The sequence below is a fragment of the Homo sapiens genome, chromosome 11, assembly GCF_000001405.40.
Source record: "Homo sapiens chromosome 11, GRCh38.p14 Primary Assembly".
Classification (NCBI taxonomy): Eukaryota; Metazoa; Chordata; class Mammalia; order Primates; family Hominidae; genus Homo; species Homo sapiens.
The window spans coordinates 64,894,214-64,917,433 of NC_000011.10; the positions used below are offsets into that span (position 1 = coordinate 64,894,214).

At 60.5% G+C, this 23,220-nt stretch overlaps 1 protein-coding gene and 2 non-coding genes across 11 annotated transcripts, besides 2 other annotated features; all 3 read right to left on the reverse strand.

Annotated features, from left to right (window-relative positions):
- Positions 1–332: 332 nt before the first annotated feature.
- ATG2A (autophagy related 2A) lies at positions 333–22,996 on the reverse strand. Of its 9 annotated transcripts, none has more exons than NM_001367971.1 (41): positions 22,752–22,996; positions 20,125–20,287; positions 19,868–20,020; positions 19,608–19,710; positions 19,053–19,188; positions 18,825–18,923; positions 18,114–18,210; positions 17,872–18,036; positions 17,629–17,769; positions 16,825–17,062; positions 16,594–16,741; positions 16,403–16,495; positions 15,827–15,982; positions 15,468–15,711; positions 15,058–15,154; positions 14,778–14,937; positions 13,535–13,677; positions 13,312–13,451; positions 13,042–13,202; positions 12,452–12,602; positions 12,121–12,320; positions 11,900–11,980; positions 11,529–11,635; positions 11,350–11,442; positions 9,377–9,447; positions 9,075–9,151; positions 8,303–8,467; positions 8,047–8,173; positions 7,749–7,963; positions 6,671–6,879; positions 6,281–6,416; positions 4,423–4,629; positions 4,048–4,149; positions 3,873–3,957; positions 3,626–3,761; positions 3,458–3,530; positions 3,199–3,281; positions 2,535–2,656; positions 2,249–2,403; positions 1,077–1,229; positions 333–996 (listed from the first exon to the last, which is right to left on the reverse strand). In NM_001367971.1, exons 1-41 carry the CDS (start codon positions 22,920–22,922, stop codon positions 760–762), a joined length of 5,793 nt encoding a protein of 1,930 aa, NP_001354900.1. In that variant the 5' UTR covers positions 22,923–22,996; the 3' UTR covers positions 333–759. The 9 variants fall into 9 exon arrangements, 6 of the variants coding, with proteins under 6 accessions (NP_001354900.1, NP_001354901.1, NP_055919.2 ...); NM_001367972.1 differs by having other exon boundaries at positions 8,297–8,467; NM_015104.3 differs by having other exon boundaries at positions 13,042–13,226.
- Positions 4,150–4,224, reverse strand: MIR6750 (microRNA 6750). The gene has a single exon (NR_106808.1). It is a non-coding gene; the product is annotated as a microRNA 6750 (primary transcript).
- Positions 6,108–6,237: an enhancer, noted in NCBI's record as "active region_4933". NCBI's record gives its function as "activates an Ori minimal core promoter by ATAC-STARR-seq in GM12878 lymphoblastoid cells {active_cell/tissue: GM12878}" and the evidence as "EXISTENCE:reporter gene assay evidence [ECO:0000049][PMID:35858748]".
- On the reverse strand, positions 8,174–8,242 carry MIR6749 (microRNA 6749). Its single transcript, NR_106807.1, has one exon. It is a non-coding gene; the product is annotated as a microRNA 6749 (primary transcript).
- Positions 22,908–23,217: a silencer, noted in NCBI's record as "silent region_3501". NCBI's record gives its function as "represses an Ori minimal core promoter by ATAC-STARR-seq in GM12878 lymphoblastoid cells {active_cell/tissue: GM12878}" and the evidence as "EXISTENCE:reporter gene assay evidence [ECO:0000049][PMID:35858748]".

Here is a 23,220-nt window from a genome sequence, read left to right on the forward strand (position 1 = left end):
TGGCCTCAAGTGACAACCAGGCAGGGTCAGCTGGGCTCCAAGGACCATCCCTCCCTCCCCTGGCAGCCCCACGTAGCTCCTGCCACATCAGGAGTGGGGCTGGAGTGGCAGCCTCCTGGGAGGGGCAAGGCAGAGCCCAGAGCCAGGGGAAGGCGTGCAGGGCTGGGTGCCTCTGGGTCCCCCTGTGCCCTGATCTGCTGGGCAAGGCCAGGAGGCATGGCGACCCCTGGTGGTGACATGGGAGGTGCTGGGTGCAGAGGTGGGATCTGGGGCGGGGCCAAGGTCAAGGCTGAGGCCAGGGTTCACAGGGACAGAGGATCTGAGAGGGGGGCTGGCGGTGGGCAGTTTATTCCACTTCATGCAGACACTGACCCACGCACTCACGGAGCTTAAAAATAATACATCGAACCACACGGATATCATCCCCTCCTCCCCCCAGACACAGAAAGACACTTGGCTGAGTGGGATGGGGTCCGAGGGTCCAAAAGCCTCCGTCCTGGGAGAAGGCAGCAGTGTGGGCCCAGGTCGGGGGAGGGGCAGTGTCCTTTCTCCCCGGAGGAAAAGTGCAGAGCCAGGGCTAAGGCCCCAAGGCAGGGAGGCCCCCCTCTCACAGCAGATTGGCAACGGGCAGGCTGGGAAGGCGTCCTTCACAGTGGCCATCCCCTGAAGGGCCAGGCCGGGCCGGGCCCGTGGGCTGCAGCTCTTGGGAGGCTCAGGAGCATGGTGGGCAGCACCCTCTGGGTGCCGGGCACCCCAGGCTCAGTCTTGGGCACTGTCCGAGCGCCACTTGAGGGCGTGGTCCTTGTGGGCGTCGGGGACAATCTGGTTGCGCATGCCCCCGAGCAGGCTGGACGTGGCCTCCGTGGCCAGGATGAGCGGCTTCACCACAGTCGGGGGCAGCTGGCGGATCACGCCCCCCACGGCGCCCGTCAGCCCCTTCTGCTCATGGCCCCGCGATGCCACGTCACAGATGGTCTGAGCTGTATCCAAGATGCCCTGTGGAAGCCAGAGGTCAGGGCGGGGTCTGTGTGAGGAGATGGGCATGGGGGACTGGGGCAGGGCGGGGGCCTGGTCACCTCTCGCACTGTGTCGTAGGCCTTGGCCACACCCTCCCGCAGGTCGGCAGGCTGCTGGCCCCTGCGCAGCCTCCGCGCAGAGCGCTTATCCTGCAGGGAGCGGGAGACGGGGGCTGCCGGGGACAGGATGTCATACACGGTCTCAGCTGTGGCCTGGGGGACATGGGAGCACTGGATGAGGACAGCTGGCTGGGGCACACGTCAGCCCCAGGCCCCCAGGACAGTCTGAGACCCCACCAGCCCTCAGCCTCCCTGCCTGTCACTGTGCTGGCCTAGGGGGTCCTGCTCAGCCTCACTCCCCACTTCCTCCCACTCTTCCTCCCCTTCCTAGGCACCTGCCACTCTGCTGAGGGAACCTAGGAACGTGGGACTCCTCAGGGGACTTTCCTAAAGTCTTCTCAACCCAAACCTCTCTTCCTGCTGACCACCACATTCAGCAGGTTCCACATGGCTGCCGCAGCTGCACGCCTGAGACTGACCGCTCCTTGCCTGGCCCCCCAGACGCCCCTGCCAGATGGTCAGAGGCCCATCCTTCCTTCTGTCTGCCAGATCCTCTGCCCAGCATCTCACCTGGCATCACTCTTTCCCACCTGACTGAACACTCCCGGGGGCTCCCTGGTGCCCATGCATCCCTCCCACCTCCCCTGGAGCCCTGCCCTCTGTCCTGTTGGGGTCTGAGCTTGCAGGTTCCAGAATGCACCATGCACCTGCACTCACCCCTTAGCCGCCTAGGACCATCGATCCCCTACAGAATTCATCTGACAACTGCCCACGAGACTGGCTCCCCAGCTTCCCTGGGGTCCTTCTGGCCTAGCGAAGCGTATGGCCTGAATGAACCAGGGCAGCCTCTGCGCCTCAGATTCTTAGTCTGCAAACACAGCCGTCCTCCACCCCCCTTTACAAGACATGCCATGAGCAGGAGACACAGTGGGCTCTGAAGGCCTGGGGGGCACTCCCGCTCCTGCATGGGAGCCCCTGTGGGCCTCGGGAGACCTGGCTTGGAGGTCCCAGGCAAGTCACTTAGCCTCTCCGTGGCTGTTTCTCTATAAAGTAGGGCTGTCATACCCAGACTGCCCACTCTGAGGAGCTTTGAGGACAGAACCAGGGAGCTGTGGTGCAGAGGGCTCCAGCTGCTCTGTCCTGCACAGCCCAGATACAGGGCACCCACTCACCTGGATAGCCTGTACCAACCGGTTGCTGAGTTCCAGGGCGGCAGAGGCTGTGGATGAGCCAAAGGAGGCAGCCCCTCGCTGCAGCCCCCGCATGAGGCGGCCATCCTTCCTGTACTGCTCAATGGGCAGCCACAGCAGGTCCCGGAACCCTTGGACTAGGGGGAAGGAGCGCTCAGAGACACCCGAGGCTGCCCTGCCCCCACCTCCTCCTCTTATTCCCAATGGCAGCTTCTAGGTTGCCCAAGGGTAAAAGCAGTTTCGAGGGCTTCCAAACCTAGACACTCACAGAGCTGGACAACCGAGTGCATGGGGCCCACGCCTCCCAGCAGGCCGGGCAGCTGGTTCTTGCGGATGTCCTGCAGCCACTCGTTGAGGGCATAGCCCAGCACCTTGTCCACACCCAGGAGCCTGGCAGGGCAGGGAGGTGAGGAGGCAGAAGGTGAGGCAGAGCCACACATGGAGGGATTGTGGGGTCAGGAGGACTCAGTACCCCTGTGGCAAGTACTGTGGGCACTCTACCCTCCCTGTGGTCCCACCCAGTCATGTGCAGAGGGACTGTGTCCTTTTTTTTTTTTTTTAGATGGAGTCTTGCTCCGTTGCCCAGGCTGGAGTGAAGTGGTGCGATCTTGGCTCACTGCAACCGCCTCCCAGGTTCAAGCAGTTCTCCTGCCTCAGCCTCCTGAGTAGCTGGGATTACATGTGTATGCCACCACGCCTGGCTAATTTTTGTATTTTTAGTAGAGACGGGGGGGTTTCACCATGTTGGTCAGGCTGGTCTCGAATGCCTGAATGTGTGAGCCATCATGCCCAGCCAACTGCGTCCTTTTTACAGAGGAGAAACTGAGGCCCTGAGAAGGGTGATGACTTGGCCAAGGCCACACAACCAGTCAGGACCAGAACAGAAGGAAGATCAGGGACCCTGGAGAGAGGCTGGGGTGCTGGGGACTCACCCGTGCCTGCAACAGAGCCGCTTTAGCTTCAGCTCGGAGCAGTTGAGTTGGGCCAGGCCGATGAGGAGGCCAGCAAAAGTGCCCTGGGAGAGGGAGGGGGTCCAGGTTTACCCAATGGGACTCAGGGAGCTAGCTAGCCCATGGGAGCCACTGGAGAGCGCCCTGGCTGCTAACAGTGCCTGGATGCAAGACCTGGCCCCCAGAGGGACTCAGCCACAGCTGACCCCACATGGCCACCCCATCCGACCGCCCCACTTACCACCTGGTCCATCGTGACGTGCTTGCCATGGTAATCCAGCCAGATGGGGACCTCAGACGTGAAGCGGAACTCTCTGGGTAGGGGAGCAGGAAGAGGGGGTTCTTTGCTCACTGGCCTGGCCCCCAGCAATCTGGCCCAGGGCCCCCCACCCGCAGTCCAGCAGCCTACCTGAAGTAGATGGGCTGCTGGTCAGGAGGGGAGGGGCTGTGTCCACCTCCTGGGGCCTCCTGCGAACCAGTGGTCTCTACGCCTTCGGCCTGCCCTTCCAGGGGGCTGCTGGGCTGGGCTCGAGTCTCGGGGCGAGCTAGGGGAGGGGAGGTCACAGACTGGGGATGGGGCCAGGAATGACTGGGAACCTGTGCTGTCCTGGGAGGCAGAAGGCCCAGACGCTCCCCTCCCTGGCCCAGCCTCTCACCCTCAGCGGAGGTCTCCCCTGGGACCACGGGGTTGATGCCGGCCACCAGACTAGTGAAGAAGTCCTTGAGGAAGAAGAGGGCATCCTGCAAGGGAGAGGTCCAGATGTGGATCAGACTCAGAGGCCTGGAGACAGTGGGGTCACCCTAGGCTCTGCCCTCACGTAGACCACTCACCTGGTCCACATTGAGCCGCAGGGGCATCAGCGAGACGCGGAGACAGCACTCAGGCCCACCCAGGTTGGTAGTGGGGGCCACATGCAGCGCTTTGATGGTGAGCTGGGAGCAGAGGGTGAGTTCTGGACACCTGCTGGGCCTCTGGGGCAGCAGCTCACCCAGCTGTTCCCTGACAGCTCACCCAGCCACCCTGCCTCTGAACACGCTGTTCCCTTCGCTAACACAGCCCCTAGCTCTGCCCTTCTCCCAGGCTCACAAACAACCTGGGTGTTTGTGTGGGAATGCGTGTATGTGTGTGAATCCATGCATGCGTGAAGATGTATCCCCAACGGTCTGGTGCCCTGCCCCAGGGTGGATGGTGCAGGTCGCTCATACCATGTTAGAGTGGGCACGTCGCGGCATCCGCTCACTCGTGTGTAGGTACAGGAACTTGTTGATCTGGGAGGAGGCGAGCCGGTCTCGGACCTCCAGCTCCTGCACGATGAACACCTGACGGGACAGCGGTCGCTCCTCCAGCTCCTGGCTGGGGGCCGCAGGGCCTGTGGCTGGCTCCGCTGGGTACACCTCGTGCTGGAAGCTTACCTGTGGGGTGGACAGAGGCCTGGCCAGGTAAGCAGGGCCCCAAGAGGGAGGGAAGGGCTGGCCCCAGACCCCTTCTCTATTCTTTTTTTGAGACAGAGTCTCACTCTGTCGCCCAGGTTGGAGTGCAGTGGCGTGATCTCGGCTCACTGCAACCTCTGCCTCTCGGGTTCAAGCGATTCTCCTGCCTCAGCTTCCCCAGTAGCTGGGATTGCAGGCATGTGCCACCACACCCAGCTAATTTTAGTAGAGACAGGGTTTCACAACGTTGGCCAGGCTGGTCTCGAACTCCTGGCCTCAAGTGATCTGCCTGCCTCGTCCTCCCAAAGTGCTGGGACTACAGGCATGAGCCACCATGCCCGGCCCCTACCCCTTCTCTATTCTATGCCCAGCAGGGACCTGCCTCTCCCTCCAGACCTGACCCTGCTCTTGCTTCCCATGCCAGCTGCACTGGTCTCTGCCCCTCAAGGAGTCCAGGCCTGTTTTGCCTTCAGGACTTTGCTCTCGTAGCCCCTCTCCGTGGAGAGCCTTCCTTCCCCCTCTTCCTGCACACCCGCTGGCTGGCCATCAGGTCTCAGAGAGGCCCCTGGCCCCCTGCTCTGACACTCATCTCCCGCAGGTTCTTGCAGCACAGCCCACCAACCCGAGCAGCCTGAGGCCCCTCTGCCCTTTGCCTCTAGCGGCTCCTTGGGAAGCCCAGCACTGGCCTGGCTCACTCTGAGCAAGTGGGACCCCCCTGCCCCAGGCAATTTCCCAGGCCCAAACCTTGAACCCTCTGTACCACTCTCTGTATCTCACACACCCCATCCGCAGCTGAACCTGTGGCCAGCCCCCATCTAGGCTCTCCTGAACCTGCTCACTAGCCCTCCCTGATTGCTGCAGAGCCCCACCCCACAGAGGCCTCTCCTCAAAAGCCCTGAGGGGTTCGTCTCTTGTAAGACTCAAAAGAAACATTCTGGGTCGCTGGTTATGCACAGGCTCTGCTGCTCCTGGAAATGTCAGGATGCTTCCAGCTTCCAGCATTTTTTTTTTTTTTTGAAACAGAGTCTTACTCTGTTGCCCAGGCTGGAATGCAATAGGGCGATCTCAACTCACTGCAACCTCTGCCTCTTGGGCTCAAACAACTCTCCTGCCTCAGCCTCCTGAGTAGCTGGGACTATAGGCACACACCACTGCAAATGGTTAATTTTTTTTTTTTTTTTTTTTGGTAGAAATGGGGTTTCGCCATGTTGCCCAGGCTGGTCTCAAACTCCTGAGCTCAGGTGATCTGCTCTCTTCGGCCTTCCAAAGTGCTGGGATTACAGGCATAAGCCACCATGCCTGGCCCCAATTTGCGGCTTTCACGCTGTCCTCTCTGCCTGAAAACTCTTCCTGGCTCACATCCCCACTTGTTCAGGTCTTTGTTCAAATGGTGCCTTCAGAAGAGGACTTTCCAGACCCTCCCCAGCACACCTGTCTCCTCCACCCCTGCAGACTCTCCCCTGAGCGCTCTTCACCATCGGACACACTCGATACATCTTGGTCCCTGCCTGGCTTCCTCCACTACAAAGGCAGGGGTTTTCCTCTGCATTAGTCATTGCTACACGTGACATCGAGAACAAGGCCCGTTGTTCTATGACACACACGTGTAGTAGGCACTCGCCACCCCACTCACCTTGCTCAGCTGGATCTCCATGAGGACATGGTGCTGCCGCCCGCTGCCCCCCTGCGTGCGCCATGAGTTCTGGGGCCGGTTGGGGCCAGAGCAGCGGGAAGGGGAGCTCCTGGGACCTGAGAGGCCAGTTCTTGCCCTGGGAAGAGGGACAGGGGCCAAGCTGACTCAGAGGAACCCCATTCCCTCCCCGTCCTCAGCGGGCCTTTTAGCCTGGGACAAGAGACCCCCGCTAGCCCCAGTCCTGGAAGGCAGGCGGGATAAGGAAGGATGAGGAAACTGAGGCCCACCTGGGGTGGATGGGGCTCAAGGTCTCCAGCTGCTGAAAGTCAGACCTGGACCAGCCTGAGCCCCAACCTTCACCAGCTGCCACCTGCACCCGCTCCTCCTCACCTGTGGCCGGGGTGGGGGCCAAAGTCTCGGCCCCCATAGAGGTGCCAGACGAGGGAGACCTCACGTAGCACCACCCGAGTGCTGGGCACTGGGAAATGGGCAGGTGCCCGCAGCAAGTCCGTGCTGCCGATCGGCCGTGAGAAGTAACCGTCCCTCACAACGATGGGGCCGGGATGCAGCTGTGTCACCACAGGCTCCCCATCTCGGGGCTGCAGGGAGGCCAGGTAGACGTGTGACACAGATGTTCGATCCAGCCCAGCTGCCCCCAGCCCCAGCAACCTGGCCTCACTTCTTTTTCATTTTTTTTTTTTTATAGACAGGGTCGGGTCATGTTCGGTCACCCAGGCTGGAGTGCAGTGGCACAATCACAGTTCACTGCAACCTCTGCCTCCTAGGCTCAAGCGATCCTCCATTCTCAGCCTCCTGAGTAGCAGGGACTGCAGACATGTGCCACCATATCTGGCTAATTTTATTTTTATTTTTTGTAGAGACGGGGTCTCACTATGTTGCTCAGGCTAATCTCTCATTGCTGGACTCAAGCAATTCTCCCACCTTGACCTCCCAAATTGCTGGGATTACAGGCGTAACCTACCATGCTTGGCCTCCTCCCTGTTTTTGATGAAAGATGACACTCCTGGGTTGCTATCACCCGAGTCTATGCCTGAGTGGTCTGTCCAAGAGGAGCCTGAGAATGCCAGGCTCCTGCCAGCCCTGCCTCCTAAGACCTGGGTGAGTTCAGACATTCCCACTGGCCCTTGCAGCCACATGGTTCTCCATCCCTCTTGCTAACTGCCCTCTCCTCTTCCTCCATCCCTTGAATTTCCCAGTCCCTCTGCCCAAAACACCAGGCCTCCTCTTCCTCTGGAAATCCCCCTACTCCATCAAAGCCCAGCATCAGGGCTGCCTCCCTAGGGTGGCACAGACCTAGCACCACCCCCGAGGTGATGGCAACCACCTCCTGCCTGCTTCTCTCACCACGGGAGCTCCAGATGGCCAGGCAACCACCCCTGAGTGTTCCGTCCCCGCTCCAAACACACCTGCCTGGACGGCAAACTGGTCCATCCCTCCCACCACGCACCGGGATGCCCAGGCCGGGAGCATCAAGGATGCAGAACTCATCACTGTCCAGGGTGTCTCCATCGCCCTCCTCTTCCCTTTCATCTTCCTTCTCCTCTGAGCATGACCCTAAGCTGCCAGCAGGGCCCCCGACAGGTGGTGAAGGGGGTGGGGCCCCACTCCGTTCACCTGGGAATAGGTAGACGGAGATGGGCGACGCCTGAGGGAGGTGGCCACCTATAGGAGAGAGGCCAGTTTGGAGAGGCGCCCACAGTGGGTGCCTGACTGTGTCTGCTGTCCCCACAGCACCCCCACTTCACCTGAAGGCTGGGCCAGCTCCCGTAGGCTGCGCTCGGTGTCCAGGAGGGCGTCGGCCAGGTCACGCTGGTTGATGAGGGCCGTCTCCACTGGGGGGCACGAGGGCAGAGAGGCAGGACTCTCCGAGAGCTGGGCCAGGCAGGGGAGGAGCAATGAGTGAGACAGGACAGAGCTCCCCCAACCCCAGGCCCGAGGGCCATGGCAGGGGAGGGGCCTGGCCGAGCTCTGGTAGCCTGTGTGGCCAGGCCTCACCTGTACCTTCTGGCCGGCGATCTCCGTGGGGCTGGGGGGCCGGGGTGGGGGGTGCAGATCGCCTGTGCTCATTACGTACTGGAGCAGGTTGACCAGCAGGGCACAGGAGTCGGCACAGCTGTGCACGTGTACCACATTGTTGGAGCAGCGCAGCTCGAATAGTGGCTGGCTCTGCAGGGGCGGGGTGGGGGGAGCAGCTATGTGAACACAGGGGCCACTGCCTGCTGGCCCCACCCGCTCGCTGGGAGGGCACCGCAGTTCTGATCCTGCCACAGGCAGAACAGGGATGGTCTCTCCTGGAGTGGATGACCTGCCCAGTAACTCCACTGAACAGATGAACAAACTGTTCACCCAGAGGGTGAAAGGGGCTTGGCCCAGGGCCATCCAAGGAAGCAGGAGTGTGCCCACCCACCCTACCCCACTCCCCGTGAAGGGCTCTGCATGCCTAGCGAGGCAGGGCAGGTTATCTCCATCTTACAGGAGATGAATCCGGGGACCTACAAAGGTGGCTGATTCCCAGGGCCTCGCTGGTGCCCTGGCTGCCGCGTCCTCTGGTGGCAGGGCTGAAACCCATTCATTCATTCAGCCAGCATCAAGGGACACCCCCACCAGGGCTGTACTATGGCCCTTTGCAGGAGGGGCGCTAACTGCAGCCCAGGAAGGGCAGGCATGAACTGTGTCCGGAGCCCAGGCACGTGAGGGAGCAGCAGCCCCTGAAGACTCCCTTGGCCCCTGCACCTGCTGTGGCTCCAGGAGCCAGAGTGACAGCCTCACTCACCAGTTTGCCCTCGGTGCTCCCTTTCCAGGTTTTAATCACAAGTTCCAAGAGGTCAACATCCAAAACACAGACATAATCTGCAGCAGAGGCGAGAGAAAGGTCCTGTGGCCCCCTTCCACCCGGCCCCGGCCCCAGCACCTGGGGGAAGGATCCGGTTGATCCAGGTGTAGTCCCTGCTGTGCGGGCTACGTGTGGGAGCTAAGGACCCGGCCAGCAGCTGCGGGGAGACACCTGGCTGCTCTGGGTGTGGCCGGGGCGGTGGTCCCTCAGAGGGGAGGGAGCCCAGTCCCGGCCCTGCCCACCTCGCCGCAGGTCCAGGGTCTCCACCTCACACTTGTCGGACAGGTACAAGGCGGAGTCATCGAGGATGAACCTGGGGGGGAACAGGGCTGAGAAGGGCCCGGGCACCGCTGCAGGGGGCAGCTCCACGGGAGCCGAGCAGAGGGGTCCCAAGCCCACAGGAGGTGGTATGGACAGGCCCCTCCAGCCTCAGCGTTCCTGCCTGCACAATGGGGAGAAGGCCCAGACAGCAGGCAGTGGGAAGCGGGCAGCACTTGCAGCTCTCAAAGTGCCTGCAGTTCCGACACCTCAATGGGGCCTCATGACAGTCCTGGGAAGGGGTGTCCATTTTTCTCCCTGCTGCATTTGTGGTTCTTCTAAAATAAGTCCTTATTTTTGGCTGGCGCGGTGGCTCACGCCTGTAATCCCAGCACTTGGAGAGGCTGAGGCAGGCGGATCACCTGATATCAGGAGTTTGAGACCAGCCTGGCCAACGTGGTGAAACCCCATGTCTACTAAAAATACAAATATTAGCCGAGCATGGTGGCGGGTGCCTGTAATCCCAGCTACTTGGAAGGCTGAGGCAGGAGAATCTCTTGAACTAGGGAGGCAGGGGTTGCAGCGAGCCTAGATCACACCACTGCACTCTAGCCTGGGCGACAGAGTGAGACTCCATCTCAAAAAGAAATAATAATAAGGGCTGGGCATGGTGGCTCATGCCTATAATCCCAGCACTTTTGGAGGCCAAGGCAGGCGGATCACGAGGTCAGGAGTTCGAGACCAGCCTGACCAACAAGGTGAAACCCTGTCTCTACTAAAAATACAAAACTTAGCTGGGTGTGGTGGTGGGTGCCTGTTGTCCCAGCTACTTGGGAGGCTGAGGCAGGAGAATCGCTTGAACCCAGGAGGCAGAGGTTGCAGTCGGCTGAGATTGCGCCACTGCACTCCAGCCTGCTGACAGAGCGAGACTCTGTCTCAAAAAAAAAAAATAAATAAAAAAGTCTTTATTTTAAGGGTAACATAATGAAAACTCCTTTAAGATATTTTAGAATAAAGAAAATAAAAATCATTCATCATTCCTAATCCCTAATTCTGAGAAAACCACCATACACATCTCCTTCCAAACTTTCTCTGCAGCTGCACGCCGAGACATATAAACACCCCTTCATAAACTGATTTTAAAACGTACGCAGTCCTGTATCCAATGTTATTTGAGTAAACACTGTACTGTGGCATCTTTCTATATTTTTTATCTATCTATCTATCTATCTATCTATCTATCTATCTATCTATCTATGTATTTATTTGAGACGGAGTCTCGCTCTGTCACCCAGGCTGGAGTGCAGTGGCGCAATCTTCGCTCACCGTAACCTCCGCCTCCCAGATTCAAGTGATTCTCCTGCCTCAGCCTCCCAAGTAGCTGGGACTACAGGCGCCTGCCACCACCCCCGGCTCATTTTTGTATTTTTAGTAGAGACGGGGTTTCACCATATTGGCCAGGCTGGTCTCGAACTCCTGACCTTGTGATCTGCCTGCCTCAGCCTCCCAAAGTGCTGGGATTACAGGTGTGAGCCACCGCACCCTCCATCTTCTTATATTTTGAAGGGATTCTTCAGCTTCACCTTAATCCCTGCATGGTTTTCTACCTACTAGGTGGGCCATGCTTATTTGCTCAGGTTGTGAGGCTTGTGATTTAACTGATACGTTTTGGCTGTTTTAACTTATACTCCATAAGCATTAAATCCCACCTCTCTTATTCGCATATCCTAGGACAACCCTCAGACATGAGATTACAGGTCAGAGAGCACAAATGCTTATAAGGGTCTCATCAGGAGGCTCCAACTGCCCTCTAGAAAGGCGGAAACAATCCACATTCCTGAGAATGAGACTATCACCCGGGTGTACATTAAGACCGAGAGCACCAGAGGACACACAGCTGGCAGGCAGCTTCGGCCCGGCGAGGGTGGGATGGCCCAGTGTGGGGCGGCCTGCATACCTGAGCAGGAAGGTGGAGGTGTCCATGATGATGTTGCTGGAGAGAGTGAAGGTCTCCGCGGTGATGAGGACACGCACTGGGAGGTAGAGTGGCCTGGGGGTGATACTCGGGCTGGGGCCGGCTCCTTACACCTGAGAGCCCATCCCCGTCCCCAGCCCCTGGCCCACCCAGCCTGGTACCTATAGTCCACAGAGCAGGAGAACAGGTGTGTGTGCAGGATGGTGATGACCGTCGGGGGCAGGTAGCCCAGCACAGGGTCATCCAGCACGTCTAGGAACTCCAACAACTTCAGAGGCCAGGGCAGGAGGAAGCAGTGAGGATCAGGTGGTGTCCTCCCTCCTCTAACCCCTCCCTGTCCTGGCCCCTGCCTGGCACCTCACCTTCTGCCCACTAGCTGTCTGCCACACCCCTTGCCCAGGAGCTCCGGACAAGGTCAGCTGTGGCCCAGTCCATGTTCCTCCCACCGGCCTCCTCCCACCTAGAGACCTGCTTGCCCAAAACAGAAGTCCAGAGTCACTGGGCCATGTGGCTTCCCACCACCCACGCTCACCTGGGAATGCCAGCTCTGCTCGGGCAGGGCCATGTAGTGGCGCAAGGTGGCTTTGTGCAACCGCAGTGTCACCAGGAACTCCTGAGGGTGGGGGCGCAGTCAGGGCAGTGGGGAGGCCAGCCCCACCGTGCACTGGGGCCTCACCGCGCACTGGGGTCCCACCGCACACCGGGGCTGCAGCCCAGGCTAGCAGGAGGGGTGGATGGTAGGCAAGCCCATACCTTCACATTCTTGTGGGGGTCCAGGTGGATGCGCACAGCAGTGGACAACATGTGGGGTCCCCGGCCCTGGCCCTTGCGGCCCGAGGCTCCCCGCTCGGTCACCCCTTCCTCCGATGGGTAGATGGTTGGGGCCAGCTGAGCCGGGGGAGCGAAACTGGGAAGGTCCAGGTGACTGGGCAGCGGGTAGTCATCCACGGCCGCTGGGGAGGGGTCTCATGAGCCCCCTGCCAAGCCAACTGGCTACCCACTCCACCCAGGGCCCACATCCGTCCTGAAAGCCCTCCACCCCCAACCCTGGACCCCAGTGGTGACCTGCCCCCAGGCCTCACACCTCGGTGGTAGAGTGTTGCCTTTTCAGCTTCCAGACAGAAGTAGCCAAGTCCTGGCTGGCCACAGTACTGGGAGACGCTGAAGAGGGTACCGTGCTCCATGTCCAGCACCAGCTCCCCGTGCACAGCCTCCAGCCGCTTCCCACCCTCATCCTGCAGAAGGAGCACACAGCCTGGCTTCCCCAGCTGCACTCAGCAACCCTCAAGCCCTCTGGGGGTTGGCGGCTCCTGGAGCCCTGGCCTAAGGGGGTCAGCTCCAGTTTCCACCATGGACGCTGCTGGAGGCCCTGGATGGCACTTGCCTCTTTTGCCAGGAGAAAAATAATCTCTGCCGGGTCTGCCCGCTCGGAGTGGGAACAGTGGGTGCTCCATGCCCATCCCGACCCCTAGCATGGTGCTTTACATACAGCAGGGGGTCAGAAGGAGCTGATGGGCTGTGACAGGGTGGGCAGGCTGGCGTGGGTGGGCTGGCGCTGCCCACTCAGGCCTCCTGCTCTCCACATTCTTGACCTGGAGCTGCTCGCGCTGGTCTTGCTCTGCCGCCAATGGGAGCTCTGAAGTTTGGGGCCCGCCTGCCCGGGGCTGCACTCACCTTGGTCTCACAGAGGGCTGTGATCCGCCCCTTCAGCACTGTCACCAGTGTAGAGAAGGTGCTCTGCAAGTGAAGACTTGGGGCCTCAGGGGCAGCGGCCTGTGGGCCACCTGATGCCCCCACTGAGAAGAAGTGGGCATCCTCGTCATCCGAGTCCGAGTCTGGGGTGAGATCAAAGCAGTTGGCTGGGAAGGAGACCGCGAAGGGCTAGCCTGGCCCTTCCCAGACCTGGGGGTCCTCCCTCTAGCCCAGCGTTAGCACCTCTCATACCCAGCTTGAAGGCTGACTTGCACATCTTAAAGCTGTCGTGCCAGAAGCCTGAGGGGCCGGGGAAGCCCGAGGGCTGGGCGGCGGGGTCGGGGGTGGGAAGCAGATCTGCAGGCTCCCACATGAGCAGGTCGTTGTTGATCCTGAGATAGGCGGGTGGACAGCAGGTAAGGGAGGCCAGGCCCACCCAGTGTCCAGTCCCGCCCTGCTGGCCCCGGGTCTCCACCTGTTGTAGATGCTCTCGTAGACCTCCTTGCTGGGCAGAAAGATGTGGACACTGGGCAGGATCACTTCCAGGCTGCAGCGGGACAGTGCCAGGGTCCGGCTCTGGAACGTCCTCATCTCCTCAGGGTCTCCAGGGATCACCATCTGGACAGGGTGAGGTGGAAAGAGCAGGAGAGTCATCTTAGAGACGCTGGCTGGGGCCTGTCTCTGGTCTCAGTCCTGCCCTCCTGTCGTTCATCATTCATTCATTCATAGGAGCCCTTCTCTACTGGGGATGCATGATAGCCGTACAGATACAGTGCTGATGGCACACCTGTGCTGTTCTAAGGGCTTCAGGTATGTTAACTTCTTTCATCCTCACAACAGGCCTGTGACACAGGTTATGGTTAGGCTGGGCGCGGTGGCTCACGCCTGTAATCCTAGCACTTTGGGAGAGTGAGGAGGGCAGATCACTTGAGGTCAGGAGTTCGAGACCAGCCTGGCCAACACGGTGAAACCCTGTCTCTACTAAAAATACAAAATTAGGCCAGGTGCGGTGGCTCATGCCTATAATCCCAGCACTTTGGGAGGCTGAGGTGGGTGATCATTTGAGGTCAGGAGTTAGAGGCCAGTCTGGCCAACATGATGAAACCCCGTCTCTACTAAAAATATAAAAATTAGCCGGGCGTGGTGGCACGCGCCTGTAATCCCGGCTACTCAGGAGGCTGAGGCAGGAGAATCGCTTGAGCCTGGGAGGCGGAGGTTGCGGTGAGCCGAGATCATGCCACTGCACTCCAGCCTCGGCGACACAGCAAAACTCTATCTCAAAAAAAAAAGAAAAAAAAAGAGAGAAAGACAGGTCATGGTGCCCATTTTCCAGGGGAAGAAACTCATCTATAGGTAACTCTTCAAGGTCAGATAACTCCCCAGGGTGATGACACAGTCACCAAGTGGCAGAGCCTGGCCCTTAACTGCCTTTCTAAGTGTACAGTGCTGATCCACGGGTCAGGTGGGGCAGGACCTGATCTTTCCAATCGAGGACCCATGCTCCCCAGGGGCCTGCCCTCACCAGTGCCGTTTCAGAAAGACTCTCTGACTGGCTGGAAAGAATGGAAGAGCCGAAATCCTCACTGGTGTTGGGTCAGCTCATGCCCACCCCAGGTGGTCGTGCTGCCCTGGCCCACAGCCACACAGGTGGCTCCTACGGCAGGAACCCGGGCGGTGGGCGGGAGGGGGTCCTGGGAAGAGGTGGGGCCAAGTCTCACCTCCTCTGTCTCATACATGGTCCTCTTAGAGGAGAAGGGCGAGGGCTCAGGTTCCCGCAGCTCACAGGGACTCTCCACTGACAGCTCCAGTTCCTCTCCCTTCTCCGGGGCCACCTCCCACTGTGTGCTGCTGGACTGGGGGTTCACAGTCACCACTACCCTGCCGGGGCACAGGCCTGTTACTGGCCTGCAGGGCCCCCGGCACCCAGTTCCAAACTGGCCCCCTGCCACCCCCAGCAGAACCCTCCTCTCCTGGGCCCAGTCCAGAGCCCCTACTTACTGGGGCAGGAAGTACTTGCGCCCAGTGCTCTTGGGGTCCAGGGCTTTGGAGACACGCAGGCAAGGGACAGGTGGCTTCCCTCCATCTTCATAGATACCTGGAGGGGGATGGGGAATTAGGGGGGTCATCACTGCTGCCTTTTCCTATTTCTTCCCCAATGCCCAGGTCGGCTCAGAGCTGTGCCCCCGACTCCACACACACCTTGGTGGGCAGAGAAAGCCAGAGACAAAGGGTCCACCCTACTTGTCGGTGAGGAGGCCGGGGACAGGCAGTGCTGGGACCCCAAGAGCTGGTAAAGGCCTGGGCCAGGGACTGCTCGGGTTGTGACTGGGCCCCTTCCATAGCCCCAAGCCCATCTCTCCCAGAAGCCAGGCCTCTTGCCCCAAGTTCTGTCACTCGGGGGCTCTCACCATGTAGGTCGGAGCAGGTGAGTTCCAGGTGGGTGGGGACTGGGGGACCAGGCCCACTGCTAAGCTCTGACCGGAACTGGGGCTCACTCAGCTCCAGCCGAAGCTGCTCAGCCCGCACGGCCTGGCCCGCCCAGGGGTCCGGCTCAGGCCGCAGGTCGGCAATGGGGAAGCGCAGCCGCAGCGTGGCCCGGGGTGCAGAGAGCCGAAATACCGTCTGCTGCTCCATCGCCGGCAGGGGCTCTGTCTGCAGGAGGATTGGGGGTCAGAGCAGCCGTCGGAGCCCCTCCCACTGTGACCAAGAGCCGAAGGACCCAGGCCCTGCACCCACCCCCGGCCTGGCCCTGGCAGGGGCCTCTCACCAGCAGGCCGGCTGGAGGCTCAGCAGGTACGGTGGCCAGGCGCAGTAGGGCGGCCAGCCGGTCCAGGGCCCCCAGCTCCACGTCCGCCTGGAAGTTGGCCAGGTCCAGGGCCAGTTCTGAGTGGCAATGGCAGGCAACTGAGCGCCGGGGTCGGCTCTGAGGGCGAGGGCGTTCAGGTCAGTGAGGGCTGAGTGGTACTCAGCGGGTGGGACAGGAAGGCCCTCTCTGGTAGTGGGAGAAGAGCTGGGGCAGGGGCCACGAGAGCACTAAGAAGGCCTGCCCCACCTTTGCCCGACGCGCACAATGTGCTTGTTTACTTATAAAAGCCACCCGACATGCGCCACTCTTAGCAACAGAGGCCAGCCAGGGGGCCATATTGAGATAGGGCAAGGGCATGACCAGGCTCAGAGACTGGCATAGGAAGGGCCAGGCAGGTATTTGAGGGCCCCAGCATGGAGAGATGTGGAGCACAGGGGAAGAGGGACAGGGCTGGGCAGCAGAGGAGGCCCTGGCAGAGGCCAGGGTGGGGTCAACACGCCATGGGGACAGCCTGGTGGCCTGGAGCGGGTGGGTTACCTTAGGCACACGGCGCAGGATCTGTGTGTGGCGCAGATGGGCGCAGGGCCGAGCTGAGGCCTGGGAGCCCAGCGTACCAGGAAAGGTCAGGATCTGGGATGGGACCCGGGAGGCACACAGGGTCAGGCCTGGCCCCACAGCCACCCAAACCTCCAGACCCCGCCTCGTACACATTCTGCCTCTGCCCTCACCTCCGTGTACTCAGGCTCAGAGGTGCCCCGGGGCCACAGACACTCCAGCACCTCCAGCTGCCCGAAGTGCACTTCCATGCTGGTTGTCCGCCGGCCCCGACTGCCCGTCCGCAGCTCCCAGGACAGCTGCACGGCTGTGCCCGTTAGCCTGCGGGGAAGAGGACAGGCGTCAGAAGGTGCACTTAGGGGGCTCTGATGGTCTCTCCTCAGGCCCTGGCCTCGGGCTTATACCGAACATGGCTACAGGGACAGGCCCTCTGGAAGCGTGGTCGAAGGTGATGGAAGTCTCGGGAACCGAAGGGCCCATCCTTGGTGGCATCAAACTCGGTGAAAAAGTGCGTGGCGAGGTCAGGTGGTCCGGAAGATGGGGCAGACGTCTGAAGCAAGGTCAGGGTCACACCCCCCAAGGTCATCTTCAGCAGCGAGTCAGGGCGCATGGTGTCCAGGAGGGGGTTGGGGGCCATCTTGCCTGAGGGGACAGAGGCTTCAGCAGGGGCTCCCAACAGATTCCGGGTACCCCAGGTGGAGCAATAGTTTGCCACCAGGCTGGGGGTTGGGAGGCCAGGTCTGCCCCACCATGTGGCTCTGGCAGAAGGCTTGGTCAGGCAGGGGTGACACTGGTGCCTCCAGTAGACCAGGCCTTCTGCCCAGGCTCAACTGAACCCTCCTCAGGGTGCTGGAAGGACAGGATGTGATAAAGCACCCAGCCTAGCACCCACACACAATAAGCTCTCAATAAACATGAACCCAGATATACAGCCTGGCAAAGGCTGATCTCACCCTTCTCTTCCTATGGAAGAGGAAGCTGAGTCTCAGAGAGTTCAAGTGCTTGACTAAGATCAATGACTGAAAAACCTAGGCTCTGTCCACTCTATCACCAGCTCCCACCTTGTTTGGTCCCCAGGGAACCAAGTCACAGATGGTAGATATCCAGGCATCGCTGGGGATTTCCTGTGTGCCTCTGACAGCCCACGGCACTAAGGCCTCTTCCAGTCCTTCCTGTCCCTGGAGTACCCCCAGGGTGCTCCAACTCACCAGCTGGGTGGGCCTGGGCAGAGAGCCGGCGGGAGGCCATGTCGCTGCGCACAGAGGAGGCCAGGTCTACATCGGAGAGGGAGAGCTCAGAGAGGGCTGAGGCCACACTGCTTGTGAGGCCAGCCATGGAGAAGAAGAGGTCTGTGGGTGAAGTGAGGAGTGTCAGGGACAGCCGACCCCAGCCCCTAGGCTGCTGCACCCACACTAGCTGCCCCTCCAACCACGGTCTGACCCCACACCCACCAGTGTTATCCAGGTTGAGAAGGGGGTTGGTAAGGGGGTCTGGGCTGAGGGGCTCAGCCACTGCCCCTGCCTGCAGCTGCTGGTTCAGGTCCTGCTCAATCAGCCACAGGTCTTCGGCACCTAGCGGGCGGCTCTTGTTCAGCTTGTCAGCCAGGCCCTCGTGGTCTGCAGGGGAGGAGACTTCAGTCTGGGCTGGCTGGCCCTCCCAGCCACCCCACCCCCATGCCACCCAGGGGCCTCACCTGTAAGGCTCACGGCGCTGAGCAGTTCCTGAAGTTGCTGGAGCTGCCTCGGGGTCAGGAGCAGGTGCAGGGAGCCCAGCTGTCCCGCCACCTCCAACTGGGGGCCAAGGAGGCAGCCATGGAGCCTAGGCCCACCACCCAGCTCCTCTAAGAGCTACCACCCGCCTGCCCTCGCCCTGGGAAAGCAGGATGCTGGCTACCAAACTAAACTCTGTTACCAACTAGCTCTATGAACCAGGCCACAACTTGACCTCTCAGCCTCAGTTTCTTTTTTTCTTCTTTTTGAGATGGAGTTTCACTCTTGTTGCCCAGGCTGCAGTGCAGTGGTGCAATCTTGGCTCACTGCAACCTCTGCCTCCTGGGTTCAAGCGATTCTCCCGCCTCAGCCTCCCAAGAAGCTGGGATTACAGGCATGTGCCACCACGCCTGGCTAATTTTGTATTTTTAGTAGAGACGGGGTTTCACCATGTTGGCCAGGCTGGTCTCGAACTCCTGACCTCAGATGATCCACCCACCTTGGCCTCCCAAAGTGCTGGGATTACAGGTGTGAACCCTGTGCCTGGCCTACAGCCTCAGTTTCTTTAGCTGCCAAGAAGGAAGTAAATCCCGCACTTGACATCCCCACTGTGGGCTGTAGATAATCAGCCTTGCTGAGGAGGAGGAGTCTTGAGATGGGGTACTCACCCCCTCCCCAGGGGCCTGGGGACCCACCTTGGGGCCAGGGAAGGCCTCATTTTGCTTCAACTTCACCATCAGCTCCATGTACCCTGAGCAGCTGCCGATCTGCAAGGGGGGCTCTGGAGGCTCTTCCTGGGAGACGGGAGGATACAAGAGGGAAAGGTTGAGAAAATGGAGTCAGAGATGGTCAGAAAGGATGGGAGGGGCTCAATGGGCTCAAGGGAGAGGAGACAGGGGCTGTGGGAATCAGAGCCCGCTCACCTGTGCCGGGAGCTCCTCGTAGTGCAGGCGGACCCCTGCCAGCTGCAGCAGCTTGTGCAGGAAGGCAGGCGGCTGATGCACGTCCACCGGCGGCGCCTGGCTTGGGTCCCGCACTGCCTCATCACAGTACTCCAGTCTGGAGAGTGTAGGGTCAGCCCGTGCCCTGGCCACCCCAGGCCTGGAGCCCCTCTCTCCACACAGTGCTCTGCTCTAGGGGCACGGGGTCAGGGAGCCTAGCCTGCAGAGCTGCCCCATCACACCTAGGCCGTCCTGAACCACCATGTCCAGCCCGGAGGCTCAGGCCAGCCCTTGCTCCTCAGACCCTCAGCATCTAACTTGGTTCTTGGGGCCTCGGCCACTCTGGGCCTGTATCACCTGGCCTCTGGACACCAGTCCGGGCTCACGATGCAGCCCACCTCCCCAACCCTACCACCACCGAGGCCCATCCAGATCCACCCTGCCTCTTCCCAGGAACCTAGGCTGCGGGTGGGGACCATCCAGCAGCCCCCACTCCCCATCTTCACACCAGTCCACCCCAGATCGGCCTGCCCTTACCTCTGCACACGGACCTCGACGGCCACACCACGTTCCCCATCACCCGGAGAGTGCTCCACCCTCACGACAGTGTCCAGGAAGGTCACTTTGATCCTCCGAAGCACTGAGGAGTTGGGGAGGGGTCTCAGGTCAGGTAGAGCAGCAAAGGGGAGGCAGAATTTCCCATCTGGGCACCAGGGTGGCCGTGCCGTTGTCTGGAGCCCCTGTTCTGTGTGCCACTGAAGGGCAGGAGACAGGGCGGCCAGGAGGGGCCTGCTCACCAGTCTCAATGGTCTGGGCAAACATCTCCAGCCCCTCCAGGGGCTGTGGTGGCTCAGAGGGCTCCGGTAGCCCATCCCGCAGACACTCCTGGGCCAGCTGCAGGCTTGTGGTCATGCATGAGGCCCAGCTCTGTGAGTCGGCAGCCCCTGGCGCTGTAGGGAGAAACAGGGTCTCAAGGCAGGCAGGCCCAGTCAGGTCCTGGACGCCCCAGCCCACTCTCCCCACTTGCCTGCCCCCAGCCTCGCCCTGCCCTCACCTGGACCCCGGCGGGGCTGCAAGGTGAGCTGGAGGCCGGACACGCGCACTGTGCAGTGGTCGGTGAGCAGAGCAGCCCAGGGCACGGCCACCTCGATGGAGCCCACGAAGCCTTCCACCAGCTCCAGCGGTGACTCCATTGACTCCAGCACCTCGTTCACAGACTGGGAGCAAGCAAGAGACAAAACCAGCTCAGGGAAACCCCAAATCCCACAGGCTGGCACAGCCTTATCTGGCCATAGTGCCTTGGAGAGCACCCTTGGCTTGCCCTGTCCCTCCACGTGTTATCTACAAGGTCCCACCTATGCTCATGCTGTCCCCTACTACAGGCCAGCCCCCCTACCCCGTCACCCAAAGGTGCCTAATCCTTCAAGCCAGAGCAGATGTTTCCCTCACCACTTAATTCAAGATAATATTTACCGAGCACTTTCTACATGCTGACACTGAGACTAGATGGGTAAATAAAATGTCTTCATTCCCCAGCCAAGCTAGGCTCCAGCCAGGGACTCAGAGCAACTAGGATGAAACTCAAGAGGTGAGCAGGTGCTTGGGGGTGGTGAGGGGGCTGGTGGGGGGGCCGTGGGGAAGACGCCTAACCCAGCCTGGGCCGTCAGAGGAGGGGCAAGCTGAAGAATAAAGGGAGGGGGGATAGGCGCTGGTAGAAGGTGGTGTGTTGCAGGCACAGGACAACATGGGCACATGTATGGCAGAGTCCAGAATACCCATGTTCACCCTGGATGAGCAGAGTTCAAAGGGACAGTGTCCAAGAGAGGGGCTGACCTAATGCCAGATGGGACCCCCCCCCCCCACCACCAACCCCAAACACCTAGTGTAGCTGTGCCTCTCTGTGAGGCACAAGGCTGAGCCCCTGGCTAAAATGTCCATGCTGGAGTTGTACCCCTGCCAACCTGGAAGCTCCTGGAGGGCTGTACCCCACCTGCCTCCCCCGTCACCCCAGGTGCCACCCAGAAAGGGCCTCAGTAAACTGGTTGGATCCAAGAATAAAAAAGCACATGGCAGAGCAGATGGGAGTCCAAATTCCTCACCCAGAGACCCACAGCTCGGGAAACTGAGGCCTAGAGACAGGACTAATCTAGTCACCCAGTATACAACAGGGACTGAGACTGGGATGCGGGCCTCTTTCTTTTCATGCCACTTCAGAGGCCCCAGATACTCAGTTTCTTTGGGGGCCTTCAAGGCGGGGCCTGCAGGCTGAGCTGGGAGGGAGGAGGGGCTGGTTATCAAGAAAGCGCCTGCATTCCACCAGGGCCCTAGAGAAGCCAATTCAATCCCCAACAAGAGGGCAGGGAACAGGAGTAGGGGCGTTTTCTGGAGCTGAAAGTAAAAAGGGGAAGCCTAGGGCTGGGTATGGTGGTTCATGCCTATAATCTCAGCACTTTGGGAGGCTGAGGTGGGAGGATCCCTTCAGGGGTTCAAGGCTAGCCTGGGCAACATAGCGAAATCCTGTCTCTATAAAAATAAAAAAGGGGCAGCCTAGAGACGGCCTTAGAGGCTGAGGCTAAGGTTAGAGGTCAGAGAGGGCTTCCTACACCAGAATTCACAGACAGCAGGCCACTGGGGGGTGCCCCCAGTTCAGGGCCCACGATTATCCTACCCCACATTTGCTCACCAGGGCCTGGCCTACCCCCAAAGCCTAGCTCTTCTGCCCAGATTAGCAGCCCCCTGAGTCCAGCCACAAAACTGAGAAGTCCCTGCCTCCATGCCCACCCCTGCTGCTCTGGACCTGGTGGATCGACCAGGACGCGCCTCTAATTGGTGGCTCCTTCAAAGCTCCCCAGGTCAGCTGAGCTGTGAGTCAGGGCTCCTCACCGTTCCCAGCCTCAAGCCTCTGACCTTACACCTCTTGGCCTCCCTAGCATCTCCCTTGGCCTCCTCCCGGCTTGAAGCCAGATCTCCCCACCTTTCCTCCAGGGCCTCCCTCCAGGCAGGGACACTGAGCCGGGGGGGTCGGTGGGAGATGTAGGTGGGGGCCATCCAGTCCCTCCCTAGACACCCACTTGGCCCATCCCACTCTCCCAAAAGCAGGAAGTAGGCAGCGACCCAGGCACACGAGGTGTTGATCAACACTGGTACTGACGTACTGACGCGGTTGTTGACATACACATCCGGTGGTTTGTTGATCCCACCTACGGGCTCAGGACCGTGGGGTCAAGAGGTCAGGGCACATGATCCACAGGTGTCCTCGCCAGGGCTCCGGACCCCTACCAGCTTCCCCCACCAGCTGCGCAGGCCCAAGTCTGTCACTGCCCTGGCCCAGCTCAGTTCCTACGCTCCCTCCCCAGCCCCTCCTCAGCCCGAGAGCCAACCTCCTTAACTCAGCCCCCAAACTCGACGAGTTTGTCTTGCATTCTCCAGACAGGTGATCTTGCCCTCTCCAGCCTCAGTTTCTCCTCCCGTGGAGACAGAAACCCCTTCCCGCTCAGTTTCTGGCTCTGGTAAGGAACTGAAGAGGCCAGCCGGGGTGCCTCTGACGCCTGGAGAGGGCAAGATTCCCCTGGCCTCTCTACGCCCGGTGCCTGATCCCCCAGCCCGATCCTGCCGCAGGGAGCCTCAGGTCGCTGCGCTCCCACCCTCCGCACCTTCCTGGACTCGGGCCTGGCTCCTCACCCAGATTTCCAGGTGGATGTCTCGCAGGGCAACGCTGCCCTTGTACAGATCGAGGCTGAGCTGGTCCAGGCTGAGGTGCTCTTGGAAGAAGTGACCTAAGTAGTGGTGCAGCAAGTAGCGGCAGACCCGCTCTTTCACACAGTTTGACCATGGCCACAGCCATCGTGACATCTCGGAGACCGCCGGGCCTGGGCCGCCTCCGCTTGCCGCCCGCCGGCGATCCCCGTCCGGCTCCGCTGTTCACTAGAGCCCCCGGCTCGCCCCGCCGCTTCTCTAGGCGCCAGGCCGCGCCTCCGGACGCCCAGCCACGCCCCCTACGCTCACTGTCATTGGCTATTGCAAAGGGCGAGGCCTACTGATTGGCTGCGCGGGGCGGAGCCTTCGGGCGCGAAAAAGGGACTGGGCTCTCTGCATGATATAGGGCTCTCAATCATGATTTACGCTTGCGTAAAGTACTGTGTGGGAGGAC